The sequence below is a fragment of the Homo sapiens genome, chromosome X, assembly GCF_000001405.40.
Source record: "Homo sapiens chromosome X, GRCh38.p14 Primary Assembly".
Classification (NCBI taxonomy): domain Eukaryota; kingdom Metazoa; phylum Chordata; class Mammalia; order Primates; family Hominidae; genus Homo; species Homo sapiens.
Genome location: NC_000023.11, coordinates 38168042 through 38182693, shown reverse-complemented (window position 1 = coordinate 38182693; position 14652 = coordinate 38168042). Strand labels below are relative to the sequence as shown.

The following is a 14652-nucleotide window of genomic DNA, read 5'->3' as shown; positions in this document are numbered from 1 at the left end:
TCTCTTTTATCAGGGAGAAAAATCTTTCCCATAAGCTCCCTCCCCCTGCCCCTAAGCAGACTTCATTTTACTTGCCATTGTCCAATATTGGGTTACATGCTTATCCCTGGAGCAATTCCTGGCAAAGGGGAATTAATTTTTTGACTTAAGAGTCATCATGGTTCATCGTTTGGGGAGGGACACATTGCTGCTGAACACAACCTGTGATCTTTTAGTAAGAAGGAAGGGGAGAATGGCTGCTGGACAGGCAACCAGCAGCTTCTGCTACACATGGATTCTTCATTTTGCTTCTGTGGGACCCACTCTTGGCATATTTGTTCTCACACTACTGAAGAAGCCATTTGCTGTTTGCCTATCAGTGATCCCAAAGCCAGCTATCTCATTTCTTTGAAATTGTAGGCGCAGAAGGCAGTAAGGCCTAGTGAAAAAAGAATGATAGATTTGAAGGCCAGGCAGACAGGATTCGAATCCCTGATTTACCATTTACTGGCTGCATAACCTTGGACAAGTAAAGACGTTAGAGACTTGGTTTCCCTAATGATAAATCTAAAATAGTACCAAATGGCCAGTGTTATTGTATAGATTTAATGAGATAGTGCATAGAAATTGCCTAGCATAGTACACATATCATAGGCACTTAGTGTGTGTTATTTCCTTTCCCATGTGAATTCAATTGCACAGAAATCAGATTGCATTTAGCTTAGCAGATAGACCAATTCGGAAAAAGAGTAAGTTTGACTCCAGTAGGTTTTTTTTTTCTTTTTTCCTCCTTACTCATCTATGTTCACATAAAAGTCCCCTCTCTTATCTACAAAAGACTTGTGGGTAGAAAGCAGTGTGCCCTGTGTTAGGGTAGTGTCCAGTTACTAAGAGAAAGCTATAAAACCATATATTCATTTCTTAATTGGTTTGCTTAAATATCTGTTAGGTTTAATATAGGAAACAGAATCCTCTCTAGGTATTTTATGCAAAAAATGATTTAATGCAGGAAATAAGGTACTCACAAAATTGGAAGGGCTGGAGCAATGGAAGTCAAGAAGTCTGCATTAAAGGTCAAATGGCACCATGACTTCAGTCCAGATGCCAGAAACTCCTCCTATCACTCAGGCTAGGAAACTGTTGCTGCCGTGATTATCACCACTGCCAACGTCACTATCCTCCCTACCACACAAAGCTGATGAGGGGACAGTGGACACAGTTGACAACACTCACATCTGCTGTAGCCTATTTTCTGCATGCACAACTGTAGAAAAGAGTTCCTTCCCTTTGATTCCTTCCAAATCACTAAAAGTAGACCCTTTCACAACCTAGGGATAAGGGAATCTAGAAACTGTACTTTTCAACCCAATGCCAGGCTTTCTTCCGCCTTACCCATGTGAAAGCCCTCCTTATCTTACTAATCTGTGATTCCCCTGCTGGGCTATCTGCCCATGTGCATTCTCTCTTTGCCCCTGTTTTCCCTCTATGCCCTGTTTGGGCTCTGACATCCTGCTCTGGCCTACCATGCCTCCCTGTCCTTTCTGGTACAGATGTCTGCCTTGCTCTAAAGGCCTTAGAACTCAGTTGTTCAAGAAGAGAAGATTAGGAAAGGGTAAGAGGTCTCCTTGCTTTGTTAAAAATTACCGTACATATCTTTGTATTTCCCAACAATTTAGTGTTAGAAGTTTTTGAACTTTATAAAAAAGGAGTCGTATATATAGTATATAGTCTTCTGGGACCAACTTTGCTCACAATATTATTTTAGTTTTATTCATCCATATTGTTGTTCTCACACATGAGCTTTGCCATATTTTAAAATCTTAATGCATTTTTGCATTTTGGGGGTTATGCTTCTTTCTTTATTCATTCAGCATTCTATAATATTTTCCCATGTTAAGAAACCTCTTCAAAATGAACATTATTATGTTATGAATGGATCATAATATGATTGACCATTTCTTGTAGTTGGATATTTAAGTTAATTCCTATCTTAGAATGTGGTAGATGAAGAAGATAGAAGAAAAAAAGGCTGAGATTTTCCATGTGGCAGAGTAGCTGGAAGATGGTTATTTGCTGAAATGGGAAACACTGGGGGATGCACAAATTTGGTGATAAGAAAAGGAATCTGGTTTTGAGCAGGTTGAGTGTGAGTGTGGAGATATCCAGACAACAGTTGAAGATTCTAGCTTGGCTCTTAGGAGACAGTTCAAGGCTAGAAACAATGGATTTATCATCAGTACATGGGGAATGGTTTGAGGCAAGTATGGGAGTGAGATGGCCCAGGAAAATAGTCTGGAGATATGTAAAGGACCAATACTGGACTCCTGGGAAATACTTATGTCCAAATGGCAGGCTGATCTAGATGTGCTGTCCAGAGAGTCTGTTTAGAAAGGAGGAAGAAAATCGGGAAACTGTTGTCATTTGGAAGCCACTGCAGAAGAGAGCTTCATGAAATGAATGGGTAGTCATTCATACTAAATGCTGTAAATACTGTAGACAAGTTAACCAGGATGACAACCGAGGGCAAAATATATGTATGTGTGTATATGTGTGTTGGAGGGCTGGGCGGGGGGAGAAAGCTTGCTGCTCATGTATCTGGATTTTTTTTTAATTTGGATGATTGAAGGTTCACATGCAGACATGCAGTTCAACTGTTTCCTTGGGTAGATTCCTAGAAGTGGAATGACTTGATCAAAGGGTTTGAGCATAGGCCTTTGATTCATGTTGTTAGGTAGGTTTCCTGGTTTTCATTGTTTTTTGTTTTGTTTTGTTTTTGAGATGGGTTCTCACTATGTTATCCAGGCTGTTTTTTGAACTCCTGGGCTCAAGTAATTCTCCCACTCAGCCTCCCTAGTTTCTGAGATTACAGGCATGAGCCACTGTGTCTGGTTCCAGTGCTCATTTTTTTATATGCAATGATGAATAGTTTGTAATTTTGTACACATCTGGGTGTGCAGAGACAAGGTGAGGAAATCTGCAGCAAAGGAAAATACAGAATTGGGCTTCTGTAGTTGCGGGTCTTTTCCTAATGAACACAGTCCAGCCCTCATCTCCTCTCCACTTTCAGTTTCCACACTCTACATCTCTCATCCAGAACACAAGTGGAACAGGGACCATTACTCATTAGCTGCATGGGGATTTGAATAACCTCACAGTGGAGGATGTTCTTGTCTGTTATGGTGGCAAGTAACTACAACTAAATGCGTGACCAAGACAGAGCTAACTCGAGTCATTAATTAGACTGTGAAGTCTGGAGGGAAGTTCTCTGAATTTAAGATTACAGTTTTGAAGTTTGGCATCTGCTACCACTTCAAGGATTAAGGATTTACTGCTCACTGGAATTCAATATTTAATATTTTAAAAACCATTCAGCTCCAGCTTGCAAATGAGTTAAATTAAAATAATACACAGACGTTCTCTCTGAGGCCGTGGTTTTTATTGGTAGCAACGCTCATTAAGAAATTTTACTGGCTGGGCACGGTGGCTCACGCCTGTAATCCCAGCACTTTGTGAGGCCGAGGCGGGCAGATCATCTGAGGTCGGGAGTTCGCGACCAGCCTGACCAACATGGAGAAATCCCGTCTCTACTAAAAATACAAAATTAGCCAGGCATGGTGGCACATGCCTGTAATTCCAGCTATTCAGGAGGCCGAGGCAGGAGAATCCCTTGAACCCAAGAGGCGGAGGTTGCGGTGAGCCAAAATCACACCATTGCACTCCAGCCTAGCAACAGAGTGAGACTCCGTCTCAAAAAAAAAAAAAAAAAAAGAAATTTTACTTGAGCCATACGTTCATGAGAGGTTCTAAATAAGCACACAGATAGTCTATTTCAGCCTTCATTTCCTACAAATGCTGTATATAGAAGCAACTTTGTGTTTCTTTTGTCAAGATAAGACATTTGATTTACCTCCTTATCTTGCATTTAAATTTATTTCACAAGATGGACCTGTTTTCAGGTACCATAAACACCCAGTTCTACTGGGTTTTCTTTGACTGCTGGGGAAACTGTGGACTGTGTCTGATGCACACATTTTATTGCATCTCCCCTGGCATGAGATTCATATACATTGGCATCTTCTCAGAGTGAAGTTGACTCTCTCTGTTTCCCTATTCCAGAATTTCACTTGGCATATGGTGATTCCAAAACAGTTTGAGGCTCATTTTGCTTGGTTTTTGGCAATCTCAGCTCAGCCGGTTTCACTCTGAGAGATCTCCTGTTTGTTCCTTCATGAATGGCCACAGAAGCTTTTGCTCTTGGCTCTGCATTCTAATAGCACCTCCTGCATGGTCTGTGGCAAAGGAATGCTTTGAAATATGCGTCCATACTATGTGGCTTTTCTTGCTGCAGTTTCTGTTCTTTTTTATTGTAGGATCGGGAGACTCACCACTAGAAGACGATGAAGTCGGGTATTCACACCCTAGATATAAAGGTGAATGCTTTGCTTATGTGCTAATGAGGACCTGCTGGTGCCAGGAGAACTTTCCTTTTTGCCTTGTGAAACAGATTGTAATAAAGTGACCAGACAACACATTTAAGTTCTAATTATCTATCAAGGAAAAAAAAATATATATATATACTCCCTTTTTTAAAAAAGGAAATAAAGCAAAATGCATTGGAAATCTCTGAAATGCTGTCTTTCAGCATCCCAATGGTCATTTTATTCTCATAAGTTTCTTTACTGTCCTCACTTCTGCAAAGGCAGCTGTAGCTGATGAAAGTGAAAATCAAGCCTAATTCATACATTACAGCCAGAATCATCCAGAGTAAACCACCTAAGGTCAAATCTGGACCAAGTGCTGATAATGTACTAAGATGAATGGGGAAGGAGAAAACTTGATTTTCATAAGCTCATTTCATCGTGCTCTTTCTGAGCCCAGCATGGCTTCTGAAACGGTATGTTAAAGTATGTTGCTCAAATGAAACTTAATGATAAAGAACTCCATCTCTACATATTCCCAGCAATCCACTCCCCAGCACGTATAAAAAGCCTAAACAAGAACCTTCTGTCCAGACTCAGGTAAGTATGTCCACAAATATTTCTACTGGTGAAACATTTCTCTGAAGCTTAGGGAAACCTGGGAGAAATGAAGGTAAATTTAGAGATGCTTTCTCTCTGAATCTAGTTCCTCTTACAGTGGAGGAAGAATTTGAAAAAAAAAAAAAAATGGTTAACAAAGTTTCACTGCGGCATTTTGCCCTGGAAATTTGTCCTAATTCCTGGGATGAGGACATGGCCCTTGTTTGTTGTGATGTGTCTCAGATACAGGAGAATCAGGGTAGGACTGGACAACTTTTGACTGGAGATGTCCTTCAGTTGTTTTCTACACAAGTGAACAATATTTCCAATATAATGACTGGTGCCTGGTGCTTATGTGCAGGTGTGCTTCCCATCACATACCACATTTTTTTGTGAGATCTGAATGCAAATACTCATTCCTACCTATAGTTTCTATCTCCATAGCCTCAGGAATTAACCAATCAAGCAAAGCACAAATACGTTAATCAGATGCTTGGGGTAAGGAAAGGTTCTAATTCGCAAAACTTCTTAACTATTTATGGGTTTAGATTTTTTTTTCTTTGAGTCCCTTGTTGAAAAATCTTCCTAAAACACATGCATGCACAGATGACCCTTCACATCTACAGCAGGGGTTGCCTAGTGCCCTCAGGTCCTTGTTCTTCACATCCATCTTCACCTCACAGCATTGCAAATGTGACAGGTAGACCAGATGGCCAAAATGTGTGCTTGCCCTAGAACTTACCCTGAATGTTTAAGAATAAATTTTCTTAGGGCATTGTTTCTATTGTCAGTTAAATTGCTTACTGGTAGCAATCATTTCAGTATGTATAAGTATATCAAAGCATCATGTTGTGCGCTTCATACAATAAAATTTAAGTTTTATTTATTTTTATTATTATTTTTTGAGATGGAGTCTCACCCTGTCACCCAGGCTGTAGTGCAGTGGCGTGATCTTGGCTCACTGTAACATCCGCCTCCCAGGTTCAAGCGATTCTCCTATCTTAGCCTCCCAGGTAGCTGGGACTACAGGCACACGCCACCACACCCAGCTAATGTTGCATTTTTAGTACAGACAGGGGTTTCACTATGTTGGCCAGGCTGGTCTCGAACTCCTAACCTCAGGTGATCCACCCACCTTGGCCTCCCAAAGTGCTGGGATTACAGGCGTGAGCCACTGCACCTGGCCAAGTTTTTTTAATTTTAAAAGCTAGAGACAAGCCATTATTAAGTGAGGGTTTAGTTTTAGATCCTGAGGCCCCTGCACAATGTCCAGCACAGAGTAAGTGTTTTTGAATTAAAGTAAAATAAGAAAGAAAATTAAATGTAACCAACATTTACGGTGCTCCTGGTATGTGGCAAGCATGGCTTTTGATTCTTTTGCTTGGAATACCATCATATATTCATATTAATTGAGTGAGTTTGTGATGTATGAGTATGCAGGTCATATATATACATACATTAGTTCCCCCTTATCTGCGGTTTCACTTTCCAAGGTTCCATTTACCTTCAGTCAACCGCAGCCCCAAAATATTAGATATTTTGAGAGAGAGACAGTACATTCACCTAACTTTCATTACAGTATATTGTTATAATTGTTCTATATTATTATTAGTTGTTGTTAATCTTTTATCATGCCTAATTTATAAATTAAACTTCATCATAGGTATGTTTGTGTAAGAAACAAACAGTATATATAGCGTTAGGTACTATCCAAGGCTTCAGGCATCCAATATCCCCCGTGGGCAAAGGGGGAGTACTGTATATCACAAATATATGTAGTACATACAGATTATATTAAAACCCTTAGAGGAAGGAAAATTTATTCAAGGAAGTTCTTTAGGCCTTGTGTGAGCTCCTACACGTTTATATCCACATGGTTAAATTTAATCAGCTCTAGGTTAAGCCTTTAGGACATCACCTTTACCTAGAAAGTCCAGGGAAGATTACTTGAGTCTTGAGTTTAGGGCTCACTTGCAGCTGTCTGCAAAACATGATATGACGAAAGTATTAGCCAGACCAGGGACGGTGGTGCGTGCCTGTAGTTCCAGCTACTTGGGAAGCTGAGACAGGAGGATCACTTGAGCCTAGGAGGCCGAGACTGCAGTGAGCAATGATCATGCCACTACACTCCAGCCTGGGTGACAGAGTGAGACCCTGTTTCTAAAAAAGAAAAAAAAAAGAGAAAGTATTAGCTGAAGGAAATGTGAAGGCAAAACTAAAACAGTGGTCTATGCATAAGACGTGGCCAGAACTGTTGGTTTTTGTAACTGAGAAGCAGTTGGAGGCATATCCTCAGAAGAGAATTCCTGGGAAAGTAAAACAGGGTCTGTCCTCCTTCCTGGCCACATGATGGCGGTCTTACCTCACTCACTGACAGCTCAGGTGCTGGGTTGGAGTGATGAGCCAGGCAGTTGCAGGGAAGTGGCTCCTATTCATGGCATTGAGAGCCCGGCAGGCTTTAGGGAACTCCTCACTGTTCCCCATCAATTGTGGGACAATGGGGCAGTGGCTGCTGTAGGAACTTATCCACCAAGGAGCTAGTGTTGCCCTTATATTTTATGGATCTCAAAGAGAACATTTCAAAAGCACAGCAGGGAGGTTCTGATTTATTCATTTCATCCCAGCTGTGCTTTGGGCAACTATGAGACCAAAATCAAAACACCTGCAACTTTGCCATCTGGGGAGGGTGTCACCCTGTTACGTAAATGGGGCATAACTGGGGACACTTCTCTATGGAGAGCAATTGTTCTGTGACTTTAAGCGAAATTTATATCTTGTTACAAACACCTGGAAATTGTAGCATCATTTAGATTAATGCCAGTATTACAACATTTTAGAGAGAATGTGCATACGGCTCAGACGAAATCCAAATTAACCAATTATTGAATCCCTACCGCTATGTATGACATCAGTTGCCCTTGAAAGAATTATCTAAAAAATAAAAATAAAAAATCTTATGTATCTAGTTAAGGGAAATACTAAAAAGAACAAGCATTTATTGAACATATATGCTAGGTACTGTGCTAGATGCTTGATATGCAATTTTTATTTCGTCCTTGTAACAGCACTATGGCATAAGTATAGATATTGACTCAGAGAGGTTAGCTAACTTGTCTAAGATCACACAGTCAGTTATAGAGGAACTCAGATTCATGTTCAGATATATCTGACACTTAGTCCCATGATCATAACCTCCCTACCCGGAGACACCTAAGAAAACATGGGGCACTAATTGAAGGTCCAAAATTTGGAATGTAGCCAGCCTGGGACAGTAAGAGTAAGGGGACACATTTTCTGAAAGTGTCATTTCATATTTATCTCCTCTTTTGTTTCTGCTACTTGTAGATACCCCGTGGTGCTCCCCCATCAAGGTGAAGTATGGGGATGTGTACTGCAGGGCCCCTCAAGGAGGATACTACAAAACAGCCCTGGGAACCAGGTGCGACATTCGCTGCCAGAAGGGCTACGAGCTGCATGGCTCTTCCCTACTGATCTGCCAGTCAAACAAACGATGGTCTGACAAGGTCATCTGCAAACGTGAGTAGGCCAGCTCTGTGTTGGGTCCTCAGGGATGACCAGAGCCAAAGTTCTTTTGCTCTGAGATTGAGGATTTTCACTGAATATTGATGAGAAAAATTCTCCTTATGATCAGGGGGACACCAGGGGGATTCTAAGATATGGTGGAAGTGAGTTGGCTCCTCTCAGAGAGAATGATATGATCAGCTGTTTGAGAAAAGGGGAGAGAAGATCATTGTTCAGAAAATGAGTTACATTTGTTCAGTTAGTGCTGGATCCTGAAGAGGTGTTGGGGATTTAGAAACAAATAAGACGCACATGGGTCCTGCCATGAAGAGGCTTTAGTAAGGCAGAGGTGTCAACTGGGAGATAAGTACAAGAAGGGTACAAAGTCAGGGACATATGGTAGCAGATTAAAGAAGAGTTCTCCTGGCTGGGCGCAGTGGCTCATGCCTGTAATCCCAGCACTTTGGGAGGCCGAGGCGGGTGGGTTGCCTGAGCTCAGGAGTTCGACACCAGCCTGAGCAACACGGTGAAACCCCATCTCTACTAAAATACAAAAAATTAGCTGGGTGTGGCAGCGTGCATCTGTAATCCCAGCTACTCAGGAGGCTGAGGCAGGAGAATTGCTAGAACCCGGGAGGCGGAGGTTGTAGTGAGCCGAGATTGTGCCACTGCACTCCAACCTGGGTGACAGAGCAAGACTCCATCTCTTAAAAAAAAAGAAAAAAAAAGTGTTCTCCCAAGGAGTGGGGCTTAGGGAGGCAGGAAAGAGTCACAGAAGAAGTGATGCTTATTTATGAAAGTGAGTGTGCCTCAAGGGAGAAGCTTAGAGGAGCAGCATTTCAGGGGCTGGCTTTTAGCTTCATGACAAGTCATACCTCATTTGGAAAATTGCAAGTGGTACAGCATTGTTGAAGCACATTTTAGATGTCTTTGGTATTCAAAACAGCCACCACTTTTTGAGCGCTTATGGTTTGCCAAGAATTTCACATACATTTGATTTTTACAGTAACACTATCAATATGGGTGCCATTATGTTAACTTCATTGTCAGGGAAACTGAGGTTTCAAGGCTGCAGCCATGTCATCGAGACTATGCAGACTCTGCAACTGGGTGACTGTAGTGGACAATCTGCTCTACCCAGATCTCCTCGATGCCTTTTACTAGTTGTATGTATCCAGTACCCAGCTTCTGAGTACTTTGCTCTTAAAGACTTGGAACTTCAACCTTATTCAGAAGACTGCTCCTTCAGAGGACTGATCCCACTCGCTCTCTCTCTCTCTCACTCTCTCACTCTCGTTCTCTTTTCACAAGAGAAAGCATCTCCTGTGAGCAGCCTGTAGCTGCCCAATGACTGACTGATAAAGAATTATGAAAGCCCAGCTTCCTTGCCTGGGGGCAGGACAGAATGAGCTGTCATTCACACTCCAGAGCTTCCCTATGGGATCAGGCTGCTGCTGACTTTGCCTGAGATCTCATCTTGCCTGGATTTCTCCCCTTCCCTGTTCTGCTTTCCTCACCCCCTCACTAGTCTCCCTGGGAGCACTTTCTTACTAAACCTCATGCACATAAATCCGTATCTCAGAATCTGCTTCTGGGGAGCTCAACCTAAGATAGTGGCTTAGCTGGGTTGCCAACCCAAGCCAGTGTGACAGGAAACTTTGTGTCTTCTGTGTGACATAAAACCATCCATTGTTTCTTAAATTCCATTTGTTTTATTTATTTATACAAAGTCGTGTTCTTGTTGCCCAGGCTGGAGCGCAATGGCGCAATCTCAGCTCGCCGCAACCTCTGCCTCCTGGGTTCAAGCGATCCTCCTGCCGTAGCCTCCCGAGTAGCTGGGATTACAGGCATGCGCCACCACGCCTGGCTAATTTTGTACTTTTAGTAGAGATGGGGTTTCTCCATGTTGGTCAGGCTGGTCTCGAACTCCCGAAGTCAGGTGATCCACCTGCCTCGACCTCCCAAAGTGCTGGGATTACAGGAGTGAGCCACTGCGCCTGGCCTTCTTATATTTAAATTAACTTTTCACCTCATGCTTTCAGAGTTTCTAGACTCTGAAATGAAACTCTATAGACAAAAACTAAGAAATGCTGAATATCTGATTTTCTCATTTTCAGAAAAGCGATGTCCTACCCTTGCCATGCCAGCAAATGGAGGGTTTAAGTGTGTAGATGGTGCCTACTTTAACTCCCGGTGTGAGTATTATTGTTCACCAGGATACACGTTGAAAGGGGAGCGGACCGTCACATGTATGGACAACAAGGCCTGGAGCGGCCGGCCAGCCTCCTGTGTGGGTAAGAAAATGCCACAGCCCTTAGGAGGCACTTGCTTTGGGAGGAGCAGGGGGTGTTCACATCGTGGATTGTAAAGGGAGCATCACTATTCCTCCTGTAAGGCCTAAGCATGCAACTTTGCTCTCAGTAGCATCACTGGTTCTCTGGCTCAGCCCTAGATCTAACCTCAGTGTCTATCCTGGAGCTGACTTCGTAGCTGATGGCTTCCATCTGACTTTTGTCTTTTTCTTGGTTTGCTATTGAGGCAACTACAGGCTGGCAGAGATGTGGCATACTCCTGCTGATTTTAGTTCGGGGGCCTGAGCAAAGTTATTGACACTATAGGGACAGTCCAGTAGAGAACATCTATGTGTCTTTCAGCCCCAATGTAGCTTCTTTGTCATTGACTCTGGTGGTCAGCAAGCACTCAATTTGTTCAGCTGGAAGGGATTTGGATATTTTGCCTTACTCTGGGTTTGTTGGGCAGTGAGTGGTTCCCATGGTGTGGTCCTGGGAGCAGAAGCAGCAGTAGCATCTCCTGGTCTAAGAATGCAAATTTTTACCAACCCACCCCCACCACCTGCTGAGTCAGAAACTTTAGGGGTCAGGCACAGCATTTTGTTTTTTAATGAGCATTCCAGGGATTGTGAGGCACTCAAATAGAGAGCTACTGATCTAAGGCACTGCTTCTCAAACTTTACTGTGCAGCGAAGTCCTCTAGGGACCTTGGGAAAAATGCAGATTTAAATTCAGCAGGTCTGCGGTGGGTCCTAGGATTCTGCTAAACGATGCTTTAGGGCAAAGTTTCTGAACCTCAGCATGATGGACATTTGGGGCCAAATAATTCTTTGTTGTGGAGCCCTGTTTTTTTTGTTTGCAGGATGTTTAGCAGCATCCTTGGATTTTATTCACTAAGTGCCAGTAACACTGCCCACAGGGGGCACCTCACAGATGTTGCTTTCAATATCCTCCCTGTGATTAGCTATGTGCATAGCTCTTCAAAACAAACCAAAAAGAAAATTGAATCTACTCCCTCATATTGGAAGGGGCAGAGGTGATGGTGGGAGGAGAGAAGCTCAAAAATCTTTCTGCTAAGCAAGCTTTGGCAGAGTACTCTAGGGATCATACTGTTTAAATTTCCAGATTGTGTGCAACAATGGAAAGAAAATGCTGATTGTTCTCAAAAACCAACAGCATGTCTTAAGCTGGACCAGATGCGCCTGGAACCTTCCCAGAGGAAGAGAGAATGAACCCCAAATTCAGGAGATTCATATTACAGTTTGTCAGAACAAGGTTCAGGCATATTTGGGAGAAGGAGGATTGTACATGCAATTAGTTAGGGATGACAAAAAGGGGTACAGCGATCCACAAGAGAGCCTAGAGCTCCCAGGAAAAAAGAGAGAAATGGGCAAAGCAAGCAGGCAATTCTTTCTTTGATTTTCGCGACAGACAAGCTGAGGTTTGTCCCCAGTGAATTTTACTCCAGGGGTATTATTTACTTTTTTGGCTTTAAATGTATTAAAATAGTTTAATAAATTTGTTTTTGTGTTGACAGGGGTAGGGGGTCCTTGAGCGTAACTCAGAACTTCAACCTATTTTAGGAGGTGACACATAGTGGCTAAGTAGTTCCCAGATTTCCACACAACCTTCAACAGTCTTGGCCAGAGCTGTACTGAGTGGTGAGAAAGTTGTCCCAGTTCTCTTCTAGACTGTGAGGGAAGAGAGAAGACTGGGCTTACTTTGGACTCTGAGGTGGTCAGTTCTGTGGTCTGGCTAATTTGAAGGTGCCACAAGTTAAAATTAATTCTCTTACACAGACCATACTCTGGCAATGAGCTGAAATTCATAGTTATTTCAGAAACAGATATAGATAAAAATAAGTCAATGTAGGAGGAAAAAAAATACTGCAAATTGCAGGAGGGTAAAAAGTCTTTGAAGAGCCACAACCTCCATTGATCTGGAAGAAAATAAACCTTAGAATGTAACCACTATTGTTTTCGGGGGATATTTTTCTTTCTTTCCATTTTTAGTTATTTTTGGTTATGTTGGCATTTAGATAGAACAATGAACAGTTGGAATCACAACAAGTCCTCATGTAAAGACCAGATTTTGAGTAGACACATGATCTCTCCTTTAGACCAACACTTCTTCCTAGGCCAAAACAGGAAGAAAACAAATTAAAGATACTTTAAAAACCACGGACAATGAAAAACCAGCAAAGGTCTTTTGACATTCAGAGAGTATCCATTTAATTACTTTAACAAAAGACAATGTACAAACTTTCCTTTTTGCCCTGTGGAACGGATTGTAATAAAGTGACCAGACAACACATTTAAGTTCTAATTATCTATCAAGGAAAAAATATTTTTAAATAAATATATTTTATTTTTTGCTCACTTATTTTTTGTTTTCTACAGAGTAGAATAGGTGGAGATTTATTAACACAAATGAAATTCTGGAATAAAACATTTTGGAGATGTAATATATGGAAATTGATGGCATACGTTTCTTGTGTCCCAGCTGTCTCACAGCTGGTTTACCCAATGACCCATAGGAATGGGATCATTGCATTATTGCTGGGCTGCATTGCATTATTCAGTTGATGCAAACATCAGTAGGGCTAAGAATGAATGTATCCATGCATTGTTGCAAATGATGTTAAATTGTGCTAAATTCTTCCTGGGTTGACAAATACACATTCTTTTGCAAACTTTCAGAGGCTAGTTTCAGTTAAAACAACTTGATTGACTGAGATACTGATTCACTTTTTCCCTTACATGATTTGTTAGTACAAACAGAACAGGTCAACTTTTAGTGGCTCTCTCTAATATAAATGTATCACCAATGAATTTTTATTTGGGCTTCTTTCTTGTGAAGATGTTGACTTTTAGAGATGAGGTCTCATTATGTTGCCCAGGCTGGCCTCTTGCTATGTCGTCCAGGCTGGTCTTGAACTCCCAGGCTTAAGTGATCCTCCCACATCAGCCTCCTGAGTAGCTGGGGCTACAGGCATGAGCCACCACACCCGGCTATGATCATGACTTTTAAATGTGGATTTCATTGCCTCCCTTCTTGCCTCTTTTGTCTGTTTTGGAAAGTTCTCTGGATTTTTGTATGGTGCCAAACAGAGGAAACCACTTCCCAGAGCCATCCACAGAGATTACGCTCTGGCTGGGGGAAGCAAACAACTGGATGAGTTTTCAATGGCCAGGTTTGTTCTGCATTTGGCAGTCACTCACTTCCTATGCCCCCTTGAAAAGAACTCTTCCTTTCTCTATCACCAAACTCAAACTATTTTATATTTGCATCAGTGATCTGTTGCTGCACAATAGACCACACAAAACTTAGTGGCTCCAAACAACTATGTTATTGCTCAAAGATTCTATGGGTTGGAAAGTTGGGCAGAGCTCTGTGGGGACAGCTCATCTCTGCTGTATGTGGTAATGGTTGAGGTGACCAAGTGGAGCTGGAGGATTCAAGATGGCTTCACTCACAGGTCTGGTACCTCAGTTGGGAAAAGTTGTACTGACTGGGGTCTGGCTGAGTCTCTTTCTCTCTCTCTCTCTCATTTATAATTTCTCATCCTGATTACATGGCCTCTCCAGTCAATTGGACTTCTTTAGATGGCAGCTGGCTTTTAACATAGTGAAAGCAGAAGGCACCAGATTCTTTGAGGGCCTAGGTCTGGAACTGGCACAGGGTCACTTCCCTTGCATTTTATTGTTATCTGTTGGGCAAGACTTTGTCCTTTTGAGCTTCTTCCTTATTTCCACTACCTACCGGGTTAGATGTGTCAAGGATTTCCAAGTAAATAGTTCAGCTTCAGCTGGGTGCTGGTGGCTCACACCTGTAATCCCAGC

At 42.2% G+C, this 14652-nt stretch overlaps 1 protein-coding gene across 7 annotated transcripts in view; it reads left to right on the top strand.

The window, feature by feature from the left end:
• SRPX (sushi repeat containing protein X-linked) overlaps nt 1-14652 on the top strand; it is a 71533-nt gene that overhangs the window by 38178 nt on the left and 18703 nt on the right. For 3 of the 7 annotated variants that reach the window (NM_001170752.2, NM_006307.5, XM_017029893.3), the window contains exons 2-4: nt 4350-4409; nt 8343-8534; nt 10637-10813. In NM_001170752.2, coding sequence (NP_001164223.1) covers nt 4350-4409; nt 8343-8534; nt 10637-10813 — 429 coding nt within the window. The remainder of the gene's footprint in view (nt 1-4349; nt 4410-8342; nt 8535-10636; nt 10814-14652) is intronic. The other 4 variants (XM_047442564.1, NM_001170750.2, XM_047442563.1 and 1 more) reach the window with 2 other exon arrangements.